Raw genomic sequence first — 22,997 nt, 5'->3', positions numbered from 1 at the left:
AATGACTTACAATAAACTGCACATATTTAAAGGATACAATTTGATAGGTTTTGAATAGGTCTACACCTGTGAAAACATCACTACTACCAAAATAATGAACATTTCCATTTCTCCGAGTTTCCTGGTGCCCTTTTATAATCCATTTCTCCCTTCACCCCTTCCCCCAGACACTGATACGCTTTCTATTACAATAGAGCAGTTTGCATTTTCTAGAATTTTATAGGAATGGAATCATACAGCATGAACTATTTTTTAAAATCTGAGAGAGACTTTGATTTGCCATAATGATTTTGAGGTCAGTCCTTATAGTTGTATATATCAACAGTTAATTCCTTTTTTAAATGTCGATAATACTTTATTGACACTAAACAAAAGTATTGTTTTGGGTTAAATTTTCCGTAAAAGACATCAATTCATTGATTTATTATATAAATATTAATTGAGTGCTGACCACGTGCCAGGCACATTTTAAAATACTTTATTTTTTTATTTTTTATTTTTATTTTTGAGACTGAGTCTTGCTCTATCACCCAGGCTGGAGTACAGTGGCACAATCTCAGCTCACTGCAACACCAACACCCGCCTCCAGGTTCAAGCGATTCTCGTGCCTCAGCCTCCTGAGTAGCTGGGATTATAGGCGCCCACCACCATGCCCAGCTAATTTTTGTGTCTTTAGTAGAGATGGGGTTTCACCATGTTGGCTAGGCTGGTCTCAAACTCCTGACCTCAAGTAATCCATCTGCCCCGGCCTCCCAAAGTGCTGGGATTACAGGTGTAAGCCACTGCGCCCAGCCAAGACTTTATTTTTGTAGAGTAGTTTTAGGATCACATTAAAACTGAGAGGTAGATACAGTAATTTCCCATATGCCTCCTGCCCTGACACTTGTATAGCTTCCTCCTTATCAACATTTCCCACCAAAGTGGTACATTTGTTACAATCAATGAACCTACATTGACACATCATCAACCAAAGTCCATAGTTTACATTAATGTTTACTCTTGGTGTACATTCTATGGGTTTGGACGAATATAAAACGACATTTATTTACCAATATAGTATCATATAGAGTATTTTCACAGCCCCAAACATCCTGTGTACTCTACCTGTTCATCCCTCCCTCCTCTGTAACTCCTAGCAACCACTGACATTCCAGTCATTTTTGATGAGCAAAGTTCCATCCAATACAGTTTAAAACTCCAAACTCATATCCAATTTAAAATTCTTCCCTTAACCTATTGCTTGCGGGACCCAAAGAGTGGATTGGAGCGGGTATGGAGAAAGAGAGGGGGTGAGAGACAGAGAGACTGCATCTAAGATATCTCTCCTCCCCTTCTCTCTGTACACATAGGTTGTCCAGGATTGAGGCAGGTAGGGGGTGCTTAGAGGAGATAACAAACTCTTAGACACTTGGCCACCTGCCAGTTGTGGGAAAGTGCCCTGGGTCTTACTCCGGTTACTCTGGTTCTCTCTGCTTCTGGTGGACTTGCTGATATAATGGTCTTCTTGTGATGATTTCTTGTTCAGGTCAACCTGATCTCCTCTGTCAATGAGGGCTTTCTTAGCGGGGGAGATGGGGGGCAGCACTGCTGTGGTCCCTACCTTCAGTCCCCTCTTTGGTAGGATGCCACCTTGTTTGTCCTGTCTGTCTGGGTACTCCTTTTTGTCCCTCCTCTGCTCTGTAGTCCTTGTTGTAGTCTGATGGAAACCACTGAGATTTTCTTCCATACCTTCTGTTGTGAAGCCAGGGTGGAGATGCCACACACCCTTTTCTTCCCAGGAATACTATGCTATACCTTTTCCTTGATGTGCTGCTGCAGGACTACTCCAATAAGCCTCTTGCCTTCACAAATCTGCAGCGAAAGTGGGCACAAGTCTCTGTGTTCAAGTGTATGCCTCCATCTTCTGGCCAAGGTCTCCCTAGAACTCTCTCACTGGGCTTCACTCTGCTCTACTCACTGGGTAGTGAGATGCTGGTGGGCTCCCTGTCTCGTAGCCACCCGCAGATCTGCAGGGTATTCTCCTGGAGCAGGGCATTCCCATTCCCCTGAACACACGTGGCTTTATGGGAGAGGAGAAAGATTTCCTTACTGCCATCACTATACTCTACCCAAGGCTGGGGACTCTCACCACTCTCCTCTGCCTCCCCAGGCTTCTTACATGTACTGTGAGGGTAGGGTTAATGGCTGTCAGTGATAGAGTTGGTTTTACCTACTAGTAATTTCTGGGGGAATACGACTTTCCCTTTAGATATGGAGACCCAGTGCCTGTAGACCTCATCTATAACTCCTGTGCCAGTTCTGGAGGCATAGGAAAAGCTTCACTCAACATCTGGGCATACTACTATCTGGTTTCATAGTTGACTATGCTCTCCCGCCAGTCAGTAGCCTTTCAGTATTATGGGATAATATGGCATTTTTTGTTTGTTTTTGTTTTAATCTGTTAGTTACTATTTCTAGAAAAGCCATAGAAAATAACAGGGTTTATAAAAAATAATATAAGACTGTTTATTTCAGTACAGACTTGTTTTCCAGGAAATACTTGATTTCCCTACAGCTAGATGCTGTAAATACAGTAGGGCTTTATATGTACATTGTTTGCTATAATAGAGATTTATTCTGTGACTTAAATTGTGGCCTTCAGCTGTGTTCTATGTAGTAAAAGCCCCTGGTTCCCAGGGATGCTGTAGGGAGCACTTTGAAGTCAAATGGATTTGGGTTGCAATCAGCAGCTGTGTGAGACTGGGCGAGTCTCTTATTGTAGCCGTCATAGATAAAATAAAAATATTTGTACCTACTCATCTCAGAGGCTTATAAAAACTCAATTGAATAATGTATGTAAAGCATTTAACATGATGCCTGATCATAGAAAGTATACAATAGAGTTAGCTACTTTTATTATCACTATGGTATGGATAATGCCATACTACAATTTGAATAGGAACATGTCAGGTTGGGCAGAGGAGGCCAAGACTGGGCATTCTATTAGATAGAAGGAGCATATATCATGTAAGCAGGAAAAGGAGTCAAGTTCAGAACAGCCAACAGAGGTTAGGACTCCATCAAAATGACTGGGAGATACTACATCAGGTATTAAGGTCAAAGAGCATGGAAAACTGACAATTAGGTATAGCATGGATAAGGCTTGATGGTTATGGATTTGAAAGGCAAGGTCCAGAACATACATCTGAGGGAAGGAGACCTAGGATTGTAGATGGAAACAAAACAGGACCTCTGACATCAGCACTGCTTAGAGTGTGACAGAAGGTAGTTAATTCCCTATGGCATTTCTCCTTTTGCCGGAGGAGATCCTTAAATATTTTCCCCTTATGATCAGCATGTCTCATTTCCTCTGTTTGATTCTTTTCTACTAATTCTAATAGTGGTGAAGTAGAATTGAATATTCTTTTTAAAAATTATTGCTAATTGGGTAGGCAAAAAATAATCATTCAAATTTTTATTTTTTGATAAGTGGGATTTAACATTTTTCAATATGTTTGTTAGCTGTTTGCCTTTTTCGCTTTGTGAATTACCTACTGCTGTCACTTATGATTTATTTATTGAAATTTTAGGGTTTTTCTTACCAATCTGTGCATTCTATGGATATATCAACTCCTTTTCAGTCATATTTGCTGTATATTTTCCCATTTATATTTGCCTTTTATTTCTTGATTTTGCACTTTTAGGGAATATGGAACTTTAACAGTTTTATGGGGTTAAATGTATTAATCTTCAAAAACTTCAAAAACTCTTCCAAGACTTTTAAGATTAGTTTCATAACCTTTTCCCATGGCACATTTTTTATGTATAATTCTTTATATATTCCTATAGGCATTATCAAGTTTGATTTCTACATATAACTATTATCCATCTGAAATCTATGAGCTGCAGATGTGCACATTTATAACAGCATTGTTTATTGTGTATTACTTCTTTTCTGCACTAATTTGTGATCTTTATCATATATTAAACTCATGTATAATAAGCACTGTTTATGTGTAACTTCTGTTGTTGATTAGCAATGGGATTTTTTTTTTTTTTTTTTGCCTCATAGTGTGGAGATGTGAACAGACAGCTGCTGGGTTGTATATTTACCTAAGGCAGCTCTTTGAGTGTCATGGTTATCCCACGTTAGCATAAACTCAGTTTTCAGAATGTAATTATCATGTGGTGCTACAGCTCATTCAACATTATTTATAAATATTAGTCTTTCCACATATGGCCAAAGCTCAACACCACGGGTGTTGACAAGAAATAATGCCTATCATGTTCAGTTTCATTAGCAGGGAGAGGTGAATTAAAAAGGAAAATCTGTTTCTATAGCATTTGTAGAGCCAGTAGTTGTGATTATGTCATTATCTGTTCTTAATGAGTAATGTCCTTCTACACTACCCTCCCAACAGGCTGGTGGCTGCTAATTCAGATAATTTAATTTTCCAAGTGAGGAAAGTTGCTCTTGCATCAAGCTTATAATACAATGCTTCTTGGTGGATATAATTCTTCCATTATAAGCTCCATCCATCATGCCAAGGCAAGTGGCCAGAACTATGAGATTGGACATGGCAAAGACTGGTAATAATTTCACTAATAGATTTTATTTCTTCACTTTAACAATGATATGTCTATCTACATATAGGACTATATTTAGATGGTATGTATTTTCAATTGTAAGCAATTTCAGACCTGTTTGAGAAGAAACACTTTAGTTGGCATCATTCTCTAGATATTATTTATCACTGACCTTGTACATTTGAGCACGCTAGTCTGTGGGCAAAGGTCCTGCTTGCCTAGTGATACTCAAGCAGAGTTTTCCAACTATTAGATCATGCCAGGGATTCAGGCTTATAGAGGTGTGCTCTAAGACTATCATGGCTTTCTTGAGATTTGACCATCCTATCCCATTTCTGCCTCCATTTGGATTCTTGGTCTCTCACATGTAAGGGATCCAAAGAAACAGCATTATATTTATTGCTACTGAGTTGATTTTTTCTTAAATTTCTCTGAGCAAAGTGGTACTGAATTTTCTACAAGCTCCTTACCTTCTTGGTGTGACGTGCACTAATTTTTCCAGACTTGACCAATTCACCAAACCATTGTGGCTCCTCTTTCATTCCACAGAAGCAGGAACACCAAACGGGTTAGGAAATCTGGCTGAGACTTGATCCATGGGCTCTGTGGATAAATGATATTTATTGGAGTCAGTGCCTGCAGATTTGATGAGTTATGGTGACAGCAACAGAGAGCTTCTGTGCAAAACAGGCAAAATAAAATTTATGAATCAGACAGAATTGGTAGCTGAAGGGATAGAGCTATTTAAACCTGCGGGATTTAAGGAAAACTAGTATATATTTTTGGAGGTTTGGCATCTTCTAGAATTCATAGGGAAGAGAGGTTTTTATACCCTTATCTATATATCAGAGGTTTTTTCAGTGGGTTTAGAACAGAATGGAGGAAATAGATAGAACCTGTTTCAAAGCCTAGTAACATGGGGCTTGTAGGCTGAGCAGTAGCATCCAAGCAACCCAGGAAGAATGGTACTCACCCCTTGGAGATGTAATTGTGATTGGGCTCCTAGGCCATGGTAACAAAGTGATCAGAATAGAGGGTAAGTGAGTAAGAAGAGGGATGGACACAGCTGAAGCATCACTTGGTAAATTCAAATCTTGCAATTACAGTTGCTTCTGCTAAGGAAGAGTTCTGTTTTGTTTTATTTTGTTCCTTTGGTCTAAGATAATTGCTTACCTGCACTTTATTCCATTGGAGAAGTGATCACATGAAGCTGAGCACATCGGGTCTTAATCATGTCAAGTCTCAAGAGAAAAGCAGTAGGGATGGGAACCCAGGATTAGATACTGAGGAATAGAGGGTTGAAGTAGTAAGACATTTCAGTGTTTAGATTAGAGAGGAACAGCCAGATATTGGAATCAAGCAAGGTTATGCCTAATAGGTATAGGGTACTAGCAATAAGCAGCCAGGATTTTGGGAAATGGTAGTTCTGTTTGATTTTCATTTTTTTAGAATAAAAGAGTAGTATGTATCAAATAACATATAACCCCAAAGATTCTTCTACTAGATAATTTTAAATGAAATTTGGTCCCTAGAAAGTTTAAGTATTAATAATAAAGCTAAAAACTGGACGGGCACAGTGGCTCATGCCTGTAATCCCAAGGCCAAGGCGGGCAGATTGCTTGAGGTTGGGAGTTTGAGACCAGCCTGGCCAACATGGTGAAACCCGTCTCTACTAAAAATACAAAAATTAGCTGGGCATGATGGCACATGCCTGTAATCTCAGCTGCTTGGAGGCTGAGGCAGAAGAATTGCTTGAACCCAGGAGGCAGAGGTTGCAGTGAGCCAAGATCATGCCACTGCACTCCAGACTGGGAGCCTGGGTGACAGAGCGAGACTCCGTCTCAGAAAAAAAACAAACAAATAAACAAACAAACACACACACAACCCAAAAAACCTAAATACATTATCACTGCATATTTATGAATATTCCTGACAAACTTTACTCAAATTATACATATGTATGAATTATATACTTAATATATGTATAAGTATATATATAAAGATTCTCTCTATATATATAAGGAGAGGGAGAAGGAGAGAGTGACAAAGAATGGACTTCTACTCTGGAAATAAGGAGTTTGTGTGTGTGTGTGTGTGTGTGTATATATTTATATACATATATATATATAAAAAACAAAATTAGCTTGATTCCTTTCCTGATTGTGTGCTTTTATTTTTGGCCTGCTATTTTCAATAAGTGACTCAGAATCGGAAGTGAAAAATCATTTTACAGTTTGACTAGAGTTTTTTTTTTTCTGTTAGGATAGTTGTAATCCTTACATAATATGAGTACAATCTCTGAATGTTTATTAAATGTCTGGTGCTAGGTTTTTGGGTAAAACAGCAATACCAGCCCCCTAACTTCCATGTCTCTCTAATTATATGTAAACTTGTTTAAGATCATCAAGGATAATGATTCATCACTTCAAGGTGCTCTGCTAAAGGCTACATTGTTACAAGACTATTGTTCTCTACTGAATATATTTATTTTGAGCTTTGCTTTTTTTTATTTTTAAAATAAGCTCCAGATCTCTATCTGTACTTATTATGTAAGAAATAATAAACACTTGAATGTATTTATCTACTTTTACAAAGTTACTTATAAAAATAGAAAGCTCTTGCATTTTTAGAAATATCTGCTTAGATTTATTGCTGTCATTATCAGCAGCATCATCATCATCGTCATCATCACCATTCCTTAGGATTGGTTAGTACTAGTTGCTAACCACTGAGTTCAGGGATTATTGTAAATTCCTGTAGCATTTATAAATAGTATATATTAAATAACAGACCCTTTTCCCTTAGAAAAAAGAGAGAAAAATGAAGAATGGTCAAAATTATAGGCAATTCCTAAATTTCAAATGAATTGGTTGCTAAAATTTAGTTTGTAAGGTAGTTTGTTTGAACTTGGAGCCCCTTTTATTGATTGATTGGTAAACACTATTATATATGGTGTATATCTACCTAGTTTTTCTATCAAAAGCCTGCTCAAGAGCTGAAACTGTGTTTAACTCTGTAGTAACAGTATTTAAATCAGAGTCTATTGGTAAAAAGTGTATCAAGGTTCAACATGGAGACTTCCACTAGAGTTAGTGGAGAGCGATCTTTCTCTTTCTGCCATCCGCACCTGTACACCCAAGGAAGACAAGAAGACATTTATACCCACTGTTGTGGGTTGAATTGTGCACCCTCTCCCAAATATATGTTGAAATCCTAACCCTAGATACCTCTAAATGTGACCTTATTTGGAAATAGGGTCTTTGACATGCAATCAATTTAAAATGAGGTCATATTTGATTCATTAAGGTGGGCCCTAGTTTAGTGACTGGTGTCCTTATAAGAAGAGAGAAATAGAGACAAGAAGAATGCGATGTGACAGCAGAGGCAGAGATGGGGTGATGCGTCTACAAGCCAAAGAATGCCAAGGATGGCCGGCAACAACCAGACGCTAGGAAGAGGCAAGGAAGGACCCTCCCCTAGAGCCTTCACAAAGGGCATCGTCCTGCCGATACCTTGATTTTAAGCTTCTAGCCTCTAGAACTGTGAGATAATAAATTTCTATTTCTCATGTGTCTGTTTGCTCTATGATTACTCCAGGAATGGATTTACTACTAAAACAAAACTTGGCAGGCATAAGTTTGATGTGGTTTAGTTTGCCATCTTATAAAACAGTTGTGGTGGTAATATTTAAACTACTTTATTACTAGTGTTTTATTTGTTTGTTTGTTTGTTTTGAGACAGAGCCTTGCTCTGTCGCCCAGACTGGAGTGAGGTGGTGCAGTCTCGGCTCACTGCAACTGCTGCCTATTGGGTTCAAGCAATTCTCATGGTTCAGCCTTCCGAGTAGCTGGGATTACAGCCATGCATCACCATGCCCAGCTATGTTTTGCATTTTTAGTAGAGATGGAGTTTCGTCATGTTGGCCAGGCTGGTCTCAAACTCCCGGGCTCAAGCGATCTGCCTGCCTTGAAAATGCTGGGATTACAGGTGTGAGCCACCACACCTGGCCAGCTAGTGTTTTTACTATAAATCCTTTAGTTCAATATGAATTTTAAGATATATGATGACACACAGTGAGTCCTACAATTTATTGAGTTACCATGACAAGACATGAATATGTAAAAAATACTAAAGCTTGTATACAATAGAAACCTGTACATTAAAACAGGTTTTAATGGACCTGGACACCAGTCACTAAACTAGAGCCCACCTTAATCAAATATGACCTCATTTTAAATTGATTGCATGTCAAAGACCCTATTTCCAAATAAGGTCACATTTAGAGGTATCTAGGGTTAGGATTTCAACATATATTTGGGAGAGGGTGCACAATTCAACCCACAACCGTGGGTATAAATGTCTTCTTGTCTTCCTTGGGTGTACAGGTGAGGATGGCAAAAAGAGAAAGATCGCTCTCCACTAACTCTAGAAATCCTTACTTTAAGTAGCGAACATATATCAAATATAGAATAGCTATAGTTAAGTTTTAAAAAGAAGATCCCTCTGTTTACTATTCTTCTATTTTTTTTCCAATTGAAACCTGGCTAAACTCCAAATTTCCAGAGTAGTAGGAGTCCATTATGTTTCTAGGATTCTCCTTCTCTCCAAGATGGTCCAAGAATCCAGCTGCCTTAATGAAGCCAAAGAGGCCAGTTATCTTTCCAAACACCTCACAGAGAAAGAGAGAGAAAGAATTAGAAAATTTGATCAGGCTTTCATTGGTTTCAATGCCATTGATTCTATTGTCCACATGTTACTGGCAATAATGGGTCCTTAGGGTTTGATGCATCCTTTTTTACTCCACTGATGCACTTTCTGATCAATAACCTATTGCAGTGGTTGTGTGTCTCACACCAGGACCACAGTTCTTTAGTTCATCCTCATATAGGCTAAGAGGATGGGCTTTGAAGTCTGATAACCCTGAGTCCCAGATCTGCCACTTGATAGCTTAAGCTCACTAAGCCTCTGTTTTCAGGACCGTAAATGGGTATACTATTGTATTTTCCTCATAAACTAGTTGTAGGAATTAAATAAGAAAATGCACATAAAATACTTAGGAAAAGCCTAAAGTGATGATTTAGGAGTGGAGGCTTTTATATGTATGTTTATGAAGAGATGTAATGGCGTGGGGAAAAGCCTATGATATATATAATACAATTTTAAGGGCAAAGAGAGGAATAAAATTGTATATTAGTGTGATTTTTAGTGTGACAAAGAGTGGTGCTCACAAATGTCGCATTTTATCTCCTTGAGATTTTCTAACCTCCTCCCCATTACAGTTGCCTGTAATTATGTAACTAGTTCTAGACAATGGACTGTGGTGAAAGTGATGTGTGTCATTTCTGGGCTAAGCATAGAAGAGCCACTGTGAGACTCTTAAGCTGTTGCCTTACCTCTCAAAGTGACTTCTTTAGGTCAAATGTTCCAGATGGAGCTACGAGATGGTGGAGTTTCCATCAACCTATAGCCCAGGCTGGAGCGCAGTGGTGCGATCTAGGCTCACTGCAACCTCCGCCTCCTGGGTTCAAGAGATTCTCTTGCCTCAGCCTCTCAAGTAGCTGGGACTACAGGCGTGTGCCACCGTGCCTGGCTAATTTTCGTATTTTTAGTAGGGAAAGAGTTTCACCATGTTGGCCAGGCTGGTCTCGAACTCCTGACCTCAGGTGATCCGCCCGCCTTGGCCTCCCAAAGTGCTCGGATTACAGGTGTGAGCCACCGTGCCCTGGCAACAGCCTATTTTTATAACAAAGTTTTATTGAAATACATCACACTCTTTCATTTCAGTATTGTCTATGGTATTTTAGTACTACGATAGCATATTTAAAGAGCTGCAATGGAGACCACAAGGCCTACGAAGCCTAAAATATTTACTATCTGGCCTTTTTCAGAAGAACTTTTCCAACCCCTGTTGTAGATTGTAAACTCTGAGCAAGGTTTGATCAAAACCTGCCCTTTTCAGAAGAATTTTTTCCCACAATTATACTATCCAACAATAACCACTATTACAATTTTGGTAATAATAAATTCACCCCCAAATCCCAGTAGGATTAAACAAAAGTTTTTTTTCTCTCTCATGCCACCTGTCCGTCATGAGTTAGCAGGGGGACTTGGTACATCAAGGACCCAGGGCAATGGAAACTCCGCCATCTCTTAGCTGCATCTGGAACATGTGACCTAAAGAAATCAATTTGAGACAAGTAAGAGGAGAGTGGGCCACTTGTCTAGTATAGTGGTTAGGGTTCTCCAGAAAATAGAACTAACAGGATTTATTTATTTATTTATTTACTTACTATTTATAGGACTTGACTCATGCAATTATGGAGGTTGATGAGTCCCAAGATCTGCAGTCAGCAAGCTGGGGACCCAGGAGAGCCGATGGTAGACAGTTCCAGTCCAAGTCTGAAGGCTTGAGAAGCAGGAGTGCCCATGGTGTAGGTTTCAGTCCAAGCTTGAGTCTGAAGGCAGGAGACCAGTGCCCCGGCTTGAAGGCACTCAGACAGAGAGAGAGAGAGAGAGAATTCTCCTTTACCTGGCCGTTTGTTTTATTCAGGCCTTCAATGGATTGGATGAGGCCCATCCACATTAGGAAGGACAATTTGCTTTACTCAGTCTACCAATTTAAATGCTCATCTCTTCCAGAAACACCCTCTCCCATACACCCAGAAATAACATTTAACCAGGTATCTGGGCACCCCACGGCCCAGTTGAGTTGACACATAAACTTAACTGTCAAACCTAGAGTGTAAAATTTAAAGGGAAACGGAAAAACTCAGTAATCAAGGTTAAATAACATTTTAATGCAATATTTAAAAAATCAATGCAAAGATGTACGATAAACAAAATGTTGACATTTTAAATAAAGATAGAATCAGTAATAGTACCTTGCCAAGCCATATTGGAGCCTAAGGCAATACTAATTTTGTCTTTACTTAGAATTTTGATATTTTGTTCATAAGTTCCCTAACCCAATGATTAACATATAGTGGGCCTGTTAAAGTTTTAAAAAATCGATTATGAATTGGTTAGCCCATGATACTGCAAAAGAGGAATGGAAAATCTGTTAGTGGGAACAGTTTGACCTAGTTGTTCTGGTAGAAGGTAGAACTTTGTAATCCTAAATTTATGTACTAACTCTATTCAGCAGTTTGTCTCTTCACCGACAAATATTGGCTATGGGTTCTGCCTTAGTCCTAGACCCGTGGGCGCCATCCTAATTTATATGACTGTTTTAAGGTGATATTTTGGGATTTATTATACTTCAAGCATAATTTTGAATATAATTTTTCGAAATTTAGATTTTCTGTAAAGGCTTGCTTGTACAATCTAAATACTTGCCATATTACTTTTTAGCCAACTATTTCTGGCATCCTCTCCCATTTCTTAGTTGAGGTATTCGTCAAATAGAATAATCTTATCCTCCTCTTCCAGGTTCTTCTTGTAATATCTCCATTATGACTGGAAGATGGAATGTTCATTCCAAAAGTCAGATTTGTTGGGATTCTAAATCACATTTTTCAGAGTTCAAAGTTTCATGTTATACGAGAACTTGAACTTTTCTCCATATAATATTTGGATGTAGCTGCTCCCAAGGACTGAACATAATGTTGTTTACTTCTTGGCACGGAGACCCATGTTGGTCAGTACAGAGACCTGGATGAGAATAAGGAACATTCACCTTTCTCTTCCAAATACCCATTATTTGGTAGAGAGAGAGAGATTTTGGTAAAGGCTGGCGAAGGAAGCATTATGTGAGTGGATGCTAAAGTAGCATAATAGTCATTAGACAAAACATTTTAAAGGGGGTATAATAAATGTAGAAATAGAAAACACAATTATACATTTAGTTTACCATTGAAAATAAAAATAAATGTACCCAAATGGTAGTTACTCAAAGGCAAAAATAAAAGTGTTCATGAAGTTCCAATAAACTTACACATAGTTTAGTCTGAGATATACTTACAAGGTCAGCTGGTTTTTTGTTAGATGCCTTCATTGCAGACTTCTATTACCCAGAGGTAAAATTTACAGTTATTTTTCATGTAGGGAAATAGAGGAAGAGCAAGAAACGTTCTCCTTCCTCACCTCAGTTCTTTGATGTGGATGGAGTGGGGGTGAGGTCGTAGGAGAGAAAGAGGGAAAACCCAGAAATGAGGTTTGGGGAAAGAAAGAAGTGGAAAATATTAAGGGAAAAATGTGGAGTGGTGAGGAGGAAAAGGACAGAAAAAGACTATGAGGAAGGAACAAGAGACAGGAGTCTGGCTCTAAAAGCTCCATTTTGTGTACTACTTGGTGAAGGAGACAAAAACAACAATTTTGGGTAGTGGAGACTCACCTGATTTATTATTTACTATACAGGTGCCCTCCACGTTGTGGGGAATAATTTGGGTCTGGGGCCACTATGAGGATTTTTTTCTGCAGGTACTAATATTCTGAGGTGTGATAGAACTTCTCTTTTCCTGGGACAGGAATAAAGTGAACTAAGAAGAAATAAACATTTATCAAGTACAAATGGCAAGATCTATGACAAAGTTTCCTGGGAATTAAGGTCTCTAAATCTTCATTTATTCCCACTATGCTAGTTTTCCTGTTATTTTTCCAATTTTTTATTTTGGTGAGGACTGCCTATAGCATGTTCTCTAGTAGGCGAAAAAATGAAAGAGTTTTTCTAAAGAAAAATTCACTACTTTCTTAAACTTTACCTTGAATAGCTGGTATGTTAACTTGCCTCTATTTTTATAAATTTTTAAGAGGAAACTTGATGGTTTTCTGCATAGGTAATTTTTAAATATTACTTAGCTGAGCCATGTGGAGAGATTATTTCTACTGTTGATAATAATTGTTTTATCTCTGGAAAGCATAAAAAATAGAGTATTTATTTGTATCTGTCACAGCACATGCTTGGTTTACAGAGGATTCTTTGTAAAAATTCACAAAATTATCAATTTAAGGTCTTTGTAGCATATATATATGTATTTATATATATTCCTCTGTAATTATGAGAATTGTGGACACTTAAACTAACTTGTATATCTGCTATATTTCACATCTGAATGGTACTGCTGGTTTTTATTTTTAATTTGATTTGTATCTTTATCAAACCAACATAAATGCATAGTTTAAAAAGTCAAAACAAATAAGACTTATGATGAATACAGCAGTGTCCTGTGGCATATTTTCCCACACCTGATTCCTGTTCACTGTTCCACTTTATTAAGTTTTTCACCTCCTTATTTCTAAACAACAGACTTATATTAACTTTAAAACTCCTTCATTTTATGCACCAATGACTTTCCACTATGGATAGTGGGGCTTTAGTTTTCTTAGACTATCTATTCCTCCTTCCTGCCCTTCTTATTCTACTGTCAGGTCACAGTTTTGGTTAAATTGACATTTAGAAGTACTTTTTAAAAATTCTTTTAAATATTTGTACTCTGAGAATTTATTTTAAGAGAATAATCAGAGGTGTGCATAAAAGATTTACATACAGGGATGGTCATTACAGTATTTCAGTAATAATGAAAAAGAAGACAAAATCTGAAGTCTAGCATTAGGAGTTTTTTGTTAAAAATCTGTCTTCACCTATTCATGTAATAAATTACGACGCAACCATTAAAAACAACGTTTTTTTAAGACTGTTAATGACATAGGCAAAGGTTCATGATACTCAGAATTAACAGTATACCTAGTTTGATGCAAATTTTATTTAAAAAAAGAAAAAGAATAAAAAATATATATAATATGAGACTATGGAATGCTGTGTACCAAAATGTTAAAAGTGATTTTCTCTAGATGATCAAATTGGAAAGGAATTTTGTTTTCCTGTTTAATTTTTTCTGTACTTTCCAAAATGAATTATGTTGGTAAATTGCTTTCTAAAAGTGTTCTACTATTTTGCAATATCATCAGCCATACTGTATTCTCAATACTACTTGATATGGTGCTATTATTTTCAAGGTTCTTGATATTAGATGTGGTCATCTTCTTTTTATTTATATTCGGACATTTTTGTGGAATTTTGACATGAGTTAAATGCATTTACCCTTAGCTATATTTTATAGGAAGAAATAAAACTCTCGTAATGTACATTAATCATTCTAAATTTATTTTTGCTAATTTAATTGGCAATATCCCACATTATTTTTAGTTTTGTTTCTTTGTGCTCAATTAATTTTTTATAGCTTTCTTTTCTTGTTGTACATTGACTGTTCTCTGAATTACTTCTATATCCACTCACATCCTTTGGCTAGTACATTTTGAGATGATAAGACAGGGTTAGAGATTATTCAAAGCAGAGAGAACAGTGTGAGCAAAGGCATGGGATAATGAATTGTGGAATGGGTTTGGGAGATAGCAATTCCACTTTGAAAGGAGTGTGGTGTGCTTGTAGGAGAATAGGTAGGCAGGAAAATGTAATGCCCTGGAGGTGTTGAACATTGCTTGCTCTTCCCCACCTCCTTCTCAAAGAATCTCTTCTGCTCAGGGCCCTGCTTCCAATGAGTCTATTCTCTAAACCTGTTATCCTGCCCATTCCCCATGTGATTGGATCACAGCTGATTGGAATAGAGCGGGCTTCTGATCCAAGTACCCATCATCCATAGGCTGTTCTGTGACATTTCTATGGTCTAGCATGAAAAGACGGGCCATTTGGAATTGGTAAATTAAGAGACTGAACCAATTAGTGGGGGCAGAAACTACAAGGAAGTGTTGAGAGTTATCAAGGTTTAAAAGGTATTGGGAGTGACCACATTGTGCTGTGTTAGCCGAAACTATCAGAGAATGGAAACTGCATAAACAGAGGAAGCAGAGTAATAGAAGGGAAACTGAAAGGAGAAGCAGCAACACGGATAGAAAGAGAGAGTGGTTGAGTTTTAGAGCTTTCTTGTTTTCTGACAGTTATCAATTGAACAATGAGTGTGCTTTAAAACATTTTCTTACCTGGGTGTGGTGGTGCATGCCTGTAGTTCCAGCTACTGGGGAGGCTGAGGCAGGAGGATCACTTGAGTACAAGAGTCCAAGACTAGCCTGGGCAACATGGCAAGACTATGTCTCTTAAAAAAGAAAATTCCAGGCATGGTGTGGTTCATGCCTGTAATCCCAGCACTTTGGGAGTCTGAGGCAGGTAGATCACCTGAGGTCAGGAGTTCAAGACCAGCCTGGCCAACATGGCGAAACCCCATCTCCACTAAAAATACAAAACTTAGCCAGGCGTGGTGGTGCGCGCCTGTAGTCCCGGCTACTCAGGAGGCTGAGGCAAGAGAATCGCTTAATCCAGGAGGCAGAGGTTGCTGTGAGCCAAAATTGTGCTGCTGTACTCTAGCCTGGGCATCAGAGCAAGACTCCATCTCAAAAAAAAAAAAATTTTTTTTTGAGGTAACTTGAGTAGATCTCTAGTCCTTCCAAGCATGTAGGCATTTTGGGGGCCATATTATGAAGAACTTTGGATGCTAAGGAAAGACATTTGTAATTGCTAGGCAAGGGATAAATATTAAGAATTTTTGAGGTGTGGAGTAATATATGAGAAGTATATTACATGAAGATTAATCTGGTAGTAGTATGTAGGAGAGACGGAGGAACTGATTCTGGAAGCTATTACAAGAAAATATGTGGGAGGTAATTAAAGCTTTGAGGATATGATAGAAGGAAGGTAAATGAGTGGATAGATGTAAAACATATAACAAAGGCAGGATCAACAACATATGATAATTTATTAGATACAAGGGACTGGGAAAAGAACAAGTCAAAGTTGAAGCTCAGATTTTAAATTCTGGGGATTAGAAGTTGGTAAGAGAAATAGGAAAGTCCTATTAAGAGAAATAGGAAAGTCAGAAGGACCAGACCGCTGTTAATTTCATGTTGGTTGAGTTTCATGTGCTGGTAGGGAAGTACTGTTTTGTTCTGCTTAAATAATGTTTATTGAGTTCCTAAACCTTGTTTTAGGCTCTGGATGGCGGAGGTGAGAGGTTGAAGTACAAAAATGAGTAAAATAAGGTTTGTGCCTTTGAGGAAACTCTAGTGTTATGGGTGAAGTTATCTTTCAGGTAGAGATGTACGCGTGGAGCTTGGGAGAGAACTTTTGGACAGGAGATTCAGGTGTCAACAGAGTCCCAAAGAAGTGGATTATGAATGGATAGACAGAGGGGATGCAGAGAGGAGGACTAAGGCTAAAACCATAGTGAAGAGCTTGTGTCACAGGGCAGGAGAGTCAAGAATAATCAGAGGAGGCATGGCCAGGACATTCACAGGAGAAGCAGGATAGTACAGGGTCAAAAGAAAAACCATAGGAATGGAGGGTTTCAGGAGGCATAAGGCCATCAATAGTTTTAAATGTCATAGGAAGCTTGAGAGAATGAAGTTGGTCTGGTGTGTAGGAGGTCATTTGTGATCCTAGAGGGAATTTGTGAGTAAGAGCAAGTGAAGAAATGTAGAAAGCAAAGGTAGACCACTCTTCTAATAGTTTGGGTTTTGAAGGGATGATAAGAGGAGGAAACTTGTGGGAGGGGGCAGAGTCCAGAGAAGGTTTGGTTTGTTTGTTTATTTTTAAAGACTTCATCTACATGAGGAGGCAGAAGAAGAGATCACTGGTCTGGAGGAATCAAAGATTCAAGAAAAAGAATGGAAGGAGCAAGGAAGTAAGGATTTGGGAGGGTTCATGATCAAGAGTAAAGGTGAAGGACATGACCTTGCCAGAAGGAGAGACATTCATTTCATCCTGGAGCCAAAGATTGAAAGGCAAAATACAATATACAGTGTGAAGGAATTCAGAGGGGAAGAGAAAGGAAGTACAAAGAAAAACACTTCAAATGGCTCCAGTTTTCTCAGAAAAGTAGCTAACTAGAAGTGGAGTCTTGTGATTGGGGATTTTAGGAACCTAGAGGAAGAGAAAGTTTTGAAAGGCCACTGAAGAGAATGGAAAAGGGAATTAATAAGGTAAATGAGAGGATTTTTGAGTGGTAATCAAGAGACAAATAGGGATGAAAAGTTGAGAGAAGAATCAAGAAAATGAAAATGATTTCAAATGCTAGCAGTACTCATAGAATTTTACAGAATTCCTCCCTCCCCCACCTACACGATTTTACAAATGAAGAATTTAATTCCAGAGTGGGTAAGCAACTTACTGTGAGTTTGTTGGAGTTCTAACTTCTGCCCTCCTTCTTTCTGAATGAAAAGAGATGTGACAATTGATTATAAAGTTAATTTAAGGAATTGATTCAAATTTGAAATCTGACTAAACCTGGAAAATATGAAATTGACCCAATCAAAAGATCAGAGCCTATATATATTAAACAAATGTGATAGTTGGTCAGTAAGTCAGAAGAAATGATTCAGGAATATTCTCTTCAGTGTGTATTCTGGGTTAGAATATTTTGTCAAATGTTTACATAATTATGATTTTGCACATAAATATTTAAATGTCTGGTTGATACAAAGTAACTGTCAATTCACTTACTGTCTAAAGAAAACTCAGTTGTCACAGTGCCATTCTATAATAAGAGTCCAGTTTCCAGGGTAAAAGTTACAGTTGTGGAAGATAATCTGGAAAATTATTACATATTCAGAAGTAATCAATCATTTCTGGTAATGGAATGAGAATATTATTTAAACTGTTTTCAAAAGTATTCAGTTTATTCCCAGATCTCAAGACTCTGTTCCTTAAATTTCTATAAATCATCTTACAGATGAGGCTTTGACTTTCTGAGGACTCATTTTTTCAGCAGAGGTCCAAGAAAGGCTGAATTTCCTCATAGGTGGTAGGAGTGAAATAATATTCTTATTTCCTTGTGGACAAGATCAAATAATAACTTCATATTGAATCTCAAGAGTGACCATTAGGGAACAAATGATATAATCATAACTCTTCTGTGTCATTTCCATGTGCAATTTTAGTAGTTACAATGAATAGACACTTCTCAAAAGAAGACATATATGTGGCCAACAAGCATATGAGAAAATGCTCAACATCACTAATAATTAGAGAAATGCAAATCAAAACCACAATGAGATACCATTTCACACCAGTCAGAATGGCTATTATTAAAATGTCAAAAAATAACAGATGTTGGTGAGGTTGTAGAGAAAAGGGAACACTTACTGCTGGTGGGAATGTAAATTAGTTCAGCCATTGTGGAAAGCAGTTTGGAGTTTTTTCAAAGAACTTGAAACAGAACTACCATTTGATCCAGCAATCCTGTTACTGGATATACAACCAAAGGAATCATGCACTCATATGTTCATCACAACACTATTCACAATAGCAAAGACATGGAATCAACCTAGATGCCCATCAACAGTGGGCTGGATAAAGAAAATATGGTACATATACACCATGGAATACTATGCAGCCATAAAAATGAATGAAATCATGTCCTTTGCAGCAACAGGGATGCAGCTGGAGGCCATTATCCTAAACAAATTAATGCAGGAACAGAAAACCAAATACAGCATGTTCTCACTTATAAGTGGGAGCTAAACACGGAGTACACATGGACACAAAGAGGGGAACAAAAGACACTGGGGCTTACTTGAAAGTGGAGGGTGGGAGAAGGATGAGGATAAAAAAAACTACCTATCAGGTACTATGCTTACTACCTAGGTGATGAAATCATTTGTACACCAAACCCCAGTGACACACAATTTACCCATGTAACAAACTGCACATGTACCTGTTGAACCTAAACTAAAAGTTGGAAGAAAAAAAGTTTTAGTAGTCATAGAATAGACAATGGCCACAGTATTAGGGGGAATATTATTATTACCCTTGCATATTGCCAAGCACATTGTAATTGTTGGTATTCTTTATCCCACTGTGACAGCAGATGGGAATGCCATCAGTGATATCCATAGGCTTAGGCTTCAGCATGAGGTGGGGGTCAGTGATTGTCCTGGCCTCTTACCCTGGAGGTAAAATGGAAGAACTCAAGTTTTTTTGGGGCTGAATTCCAAGGAAGCCTCAGGAGAGTTCTTCACACTGAACTGGTACTGAAATCTTTAACACTTTTCTGAATTGGTAGACTTTGTCCTCAGGGTGGAGACAATACTAGTGGTATACCCATCTCTATTGGTGTGTGTATGTGGGCACACATATGTGTATGTAAGTATAAATGTATGTATATCCACTGCTGCTGGCAGTCCAGACTTAGAATTCCACAGGGGACAGTGGGTCTCCCACTCTTACTATCTTTTAAGTCCCAGTTTAAGAATGGGTGTTCTGCTTTTCAGAGGTATTCCTAGCCAAGGATTCTAGCTTCCATGATGAAGTATTGGGCAGCTCTGTGGATGAAGCCTTGTTTTAGCAGGCCAGGCTCTCTATCTGACTCAAAAGCTCAGACATTGTTCATGGGTGTCCTTATTTGTGAGGCCACATTCTGAAGAGAAGGTCCTCCTTAACCTGTATCTAAAGAGTTAGTCAAGAATGCTTGTGTCTACTTTTCACTGGATGTTCAAGCTACTTTAACTTCCCCCTAAGTATACCCCAGATATGTTTTAAGTCACTTCACATTTCTGCCACCAACATTTGCTTGTTCCCGGCTATGTGCCATTCCATTTGCCTCCTCTCCAACAGGAATTCTGAACAACTCTACCGCAAACAGGTGAGAATTCTCATGTGGGAATTTGAAAGACTTGGCCTCCACTTTCTGTGCCCATCACTGGGATGGGATGTGATAGAGCTTGAGCCTGGCTTTTCTTTTCTTTTCTTTTCTTTTTTCTCTTTTCTTTTCTTATGGAGTTTCGCTCTTGTTGCCTGGGCTGGAGTGCAATGGCGTGATCTCGACTCACCACAACCTCCATCTCCTGGGTTCAAGAGATTCTCCTGCCTCAGCCTCCCATGTAGCTGGGATTACAGGCATGTGTCGACATGCCCGGCTAATTTTGTATCTTTTAGTAGAGACGGGGTTTCTTCATGTTGGTCAGTCTGGTCTCGAACTCCCGACCTCAGGTGATTTGCCCTCCTTGGCCTCCCAAAGTGCTGGGATTACAGGCATGAGCCACCGCACCTGGCCAAGCCTGGCGTTTCTGCTGCCACAGAACCAAGGCTGTTCTCTCTTTTCAACTCAAGACTGAAGTCCTTCTCAAGTATGACAACACTTATGGTGGAAGATTTATCATCTCCTGCGGGGCTATCTTGGTTCTCTTTTGTAATAAAAAGAATGGTGGAGTGGTGTTCACCATTTCTGGCAAGACAACTGTTACTTCAGCATGCTCATCATATACAACACTTACTGGCTCTCAGTAGAACAGGCAATATATAATATAAAGTGAATAACACAGATATTGGAGCCAGGAGGATCAGGCTCTGATTTCTGACTCTACTACTTTCTAACTATGTGACCTTGTAGAAGTTGCTATAAGTCTTGTTTATCTACCACAGGGCTGTTGTGAGAATTAAATTAACTAATATGTGCACAGTTCTCAGCATAGGGTTTGGCACATTATAGGTACTCAATAAATGGTAGCACTTATCATCATTATCACTATTTTCTTGAACATGGGGAGTAAGTCTTTATGAAATTTGACAGCCAGGACAGTTTTATCATTGTTCCTAGAAAGGTGGCATGTAGATGCCATCCTTGCAGGTGTATTTTGATGAGTCCTGATACATGGTAAGACCATTTGGCATATAAACTCCATGGCCATCTTCCGATATCCAGTGAATTACATCTTGGATGAATGCTGAATCATTACGGTCTTCTTGGGTAACATGATCTACTTATCTGACTTACTGTCACATAGATCCCTGCTTTGGATGGGCTTTATAAGCCTCCTGCAGTGTATCTAGACCAACTCTGAAAAATGTTTGTTTGAGAACACAAGGGGGAGGACTCATTTTTCCCTTCAGAGATTTGCCATATCAGAGAAGTATATCATGCTAGTAAAAGGTGGTTAGCTTCATGTCCATGCCCATGTTTCAACAATATAATTCCTCCTATCATTCAAGTCATTGTTAGTGGGCTACAGAAAATTTTGAGATCCACTTTTCTTACTGGGTCGTAAGAAACTCATTCCCCAACTTGCTGCTTTCTCATGGCATTTCATCCCATGGCAACTGTCGTTTGCAGCCCTGTTACTTACCTTTAACTTAGTGCATCTCTCACATCATGGATGCCTTTCATGACCTGGGCAAATGGCCCATAGGCCATTCAGAATGGCCTTCAGGACACTCTGTAGCTATCTAGGCATCAGTACAAAAAGTTCTGTGGTTAGCACTTGGCCTTCAGGGAGAATGCGTGTGAAAGATGCCGTCTGTGTCTTCGCATATCCACTACCCACTTGACCTGAAAGTAGAGGGTTTTCACTCAAGATCCTTTGAGGGAGTTGTGTTGTTGAATGTAATTACCCCCTTCCAAGTGAATTAACCACATCTTCTATGTGGGTACTGCATTGTATTTTTCATGTAACAAATTATCCCTTTATGTCCTATGCTAATTTTTCAGTTGAAGTGCATTTTTTATATCTTTAATTTTTATAAATAGGTACCTTATTGAGAAACAGGCTAAAGAAAAAATAAATTGAACATAATCAGGCTTCTGTCCTAAGGCCTCTTCTTTTTTATTTCTTATGCTCCCCTAGATTGTCTCATGAAAATTCATAGCTTCAATTACCACCTTTCTGCTTGTAGTTCCAAATCTTTTTCTCTAACTCAGTTCTTTCTCTCAAATGATAGACACACAATTCCAACTGCCTCCTGGGCCCATGGCTCACCTGGATGTATCCCAGGGAACATACTATGTCCTAAATTGAGCTAATTGCTGTCCCCTTATAAACTTTCTCCTTCCCTGTTCTTGATCTTGGATAGTGGCACCAACATAGTCTAGTTCCCAGAATAGAAGCCGGGAACTTCTAGTCTCTTCATCTCCCTTATTTCCAAGATTCAAATGCTATCATTTATTCTGACAAAATACTTTATAATCTCTCAATTTAGGCCTTTCATCATTTAACTCATAAATTAATATAATACTCACCTATAATTACTCTCCTGAACTTCTGGCTTAGAACTCTTCCATTTGTTTTCTCATGACTCAAAATCAAAATTCAACATCTGACATGATTTTTATAAAATGTGAAAACTGGCAAATATTATTTTTTCCTCTCTCTCACCTGCTCTCAGCTTAAACATCTTTAGAGGCTCCTCATCATTTTTAGAATGAAGAATTAATTTGTTAACATGACTTATAAAACCTTTTATGATTTGACCTCTGCTGATTTTTCTTACTGCATCTCTCACCACTCTGTCCCATTTGTCCTCTCTATTCTTATTATAGTGAGCTAATTGGCATTTCCTGGCTTGTTCAGGCCAATGTTTTTGCACATGGTCTTTAGTTATCTACAATTTCTTTACCCACCTTGTTCCTTTAATGAACTCACGAAGCTTTTCTTGACCTCCTTCCTAAAGGAAGAGGTATGTTTTTCTTTCTTTCTGTTTCCATGGACCCTGC

At 38.4% G+C, this 22,997-nt stretch overlaps 1 long non-coding RNA gene across 1 annotated transcript in view, besides 1 other annotated feature; it reads left to right on the top strand.

Moving 5' to 3' along the window:
- Positions 1-22,997, top strand: part of LOC101928438 (uncharacterized) — a 234,104-nt gene that overhangs the window by 41,850 nt on the left and 169,257 nt on the right. The gene's annotated exons all lie outside the window — the stretch shown is intronic.
- Positions 15,412-15,461: an enhancer, noted in NCBI's record as "active region_28715". NCBI's record gives its function as "activates an Ori minimal core promoter by ATAC-STARR-seq in GM12878 lymphoblastoid cells {active_cell/tissue: GM12878}" and the evidence as "EXISTENCE:reporter gene assay evidence [ECO:0000049][PMID:35858748]".

Source organism: Homo sapiens, chromosome 9 (assembly GCF_000001405.40).
Source record: "Homo sapiens chromosome 9, GRCh38.p14 Primary Assembly".
NCBI classification, from domain to species: domain Eukaryota; kingdom Metazoa; phylum Chordata; class Mammalia; order Primates; family Hominidae; genus Homo; species Homo sapiens.
The sequence above is the reverse complement of the archived record's forward strand: the minus strand, read 5'-3'. Positions and strand labels throughout refer to the sequence as shown.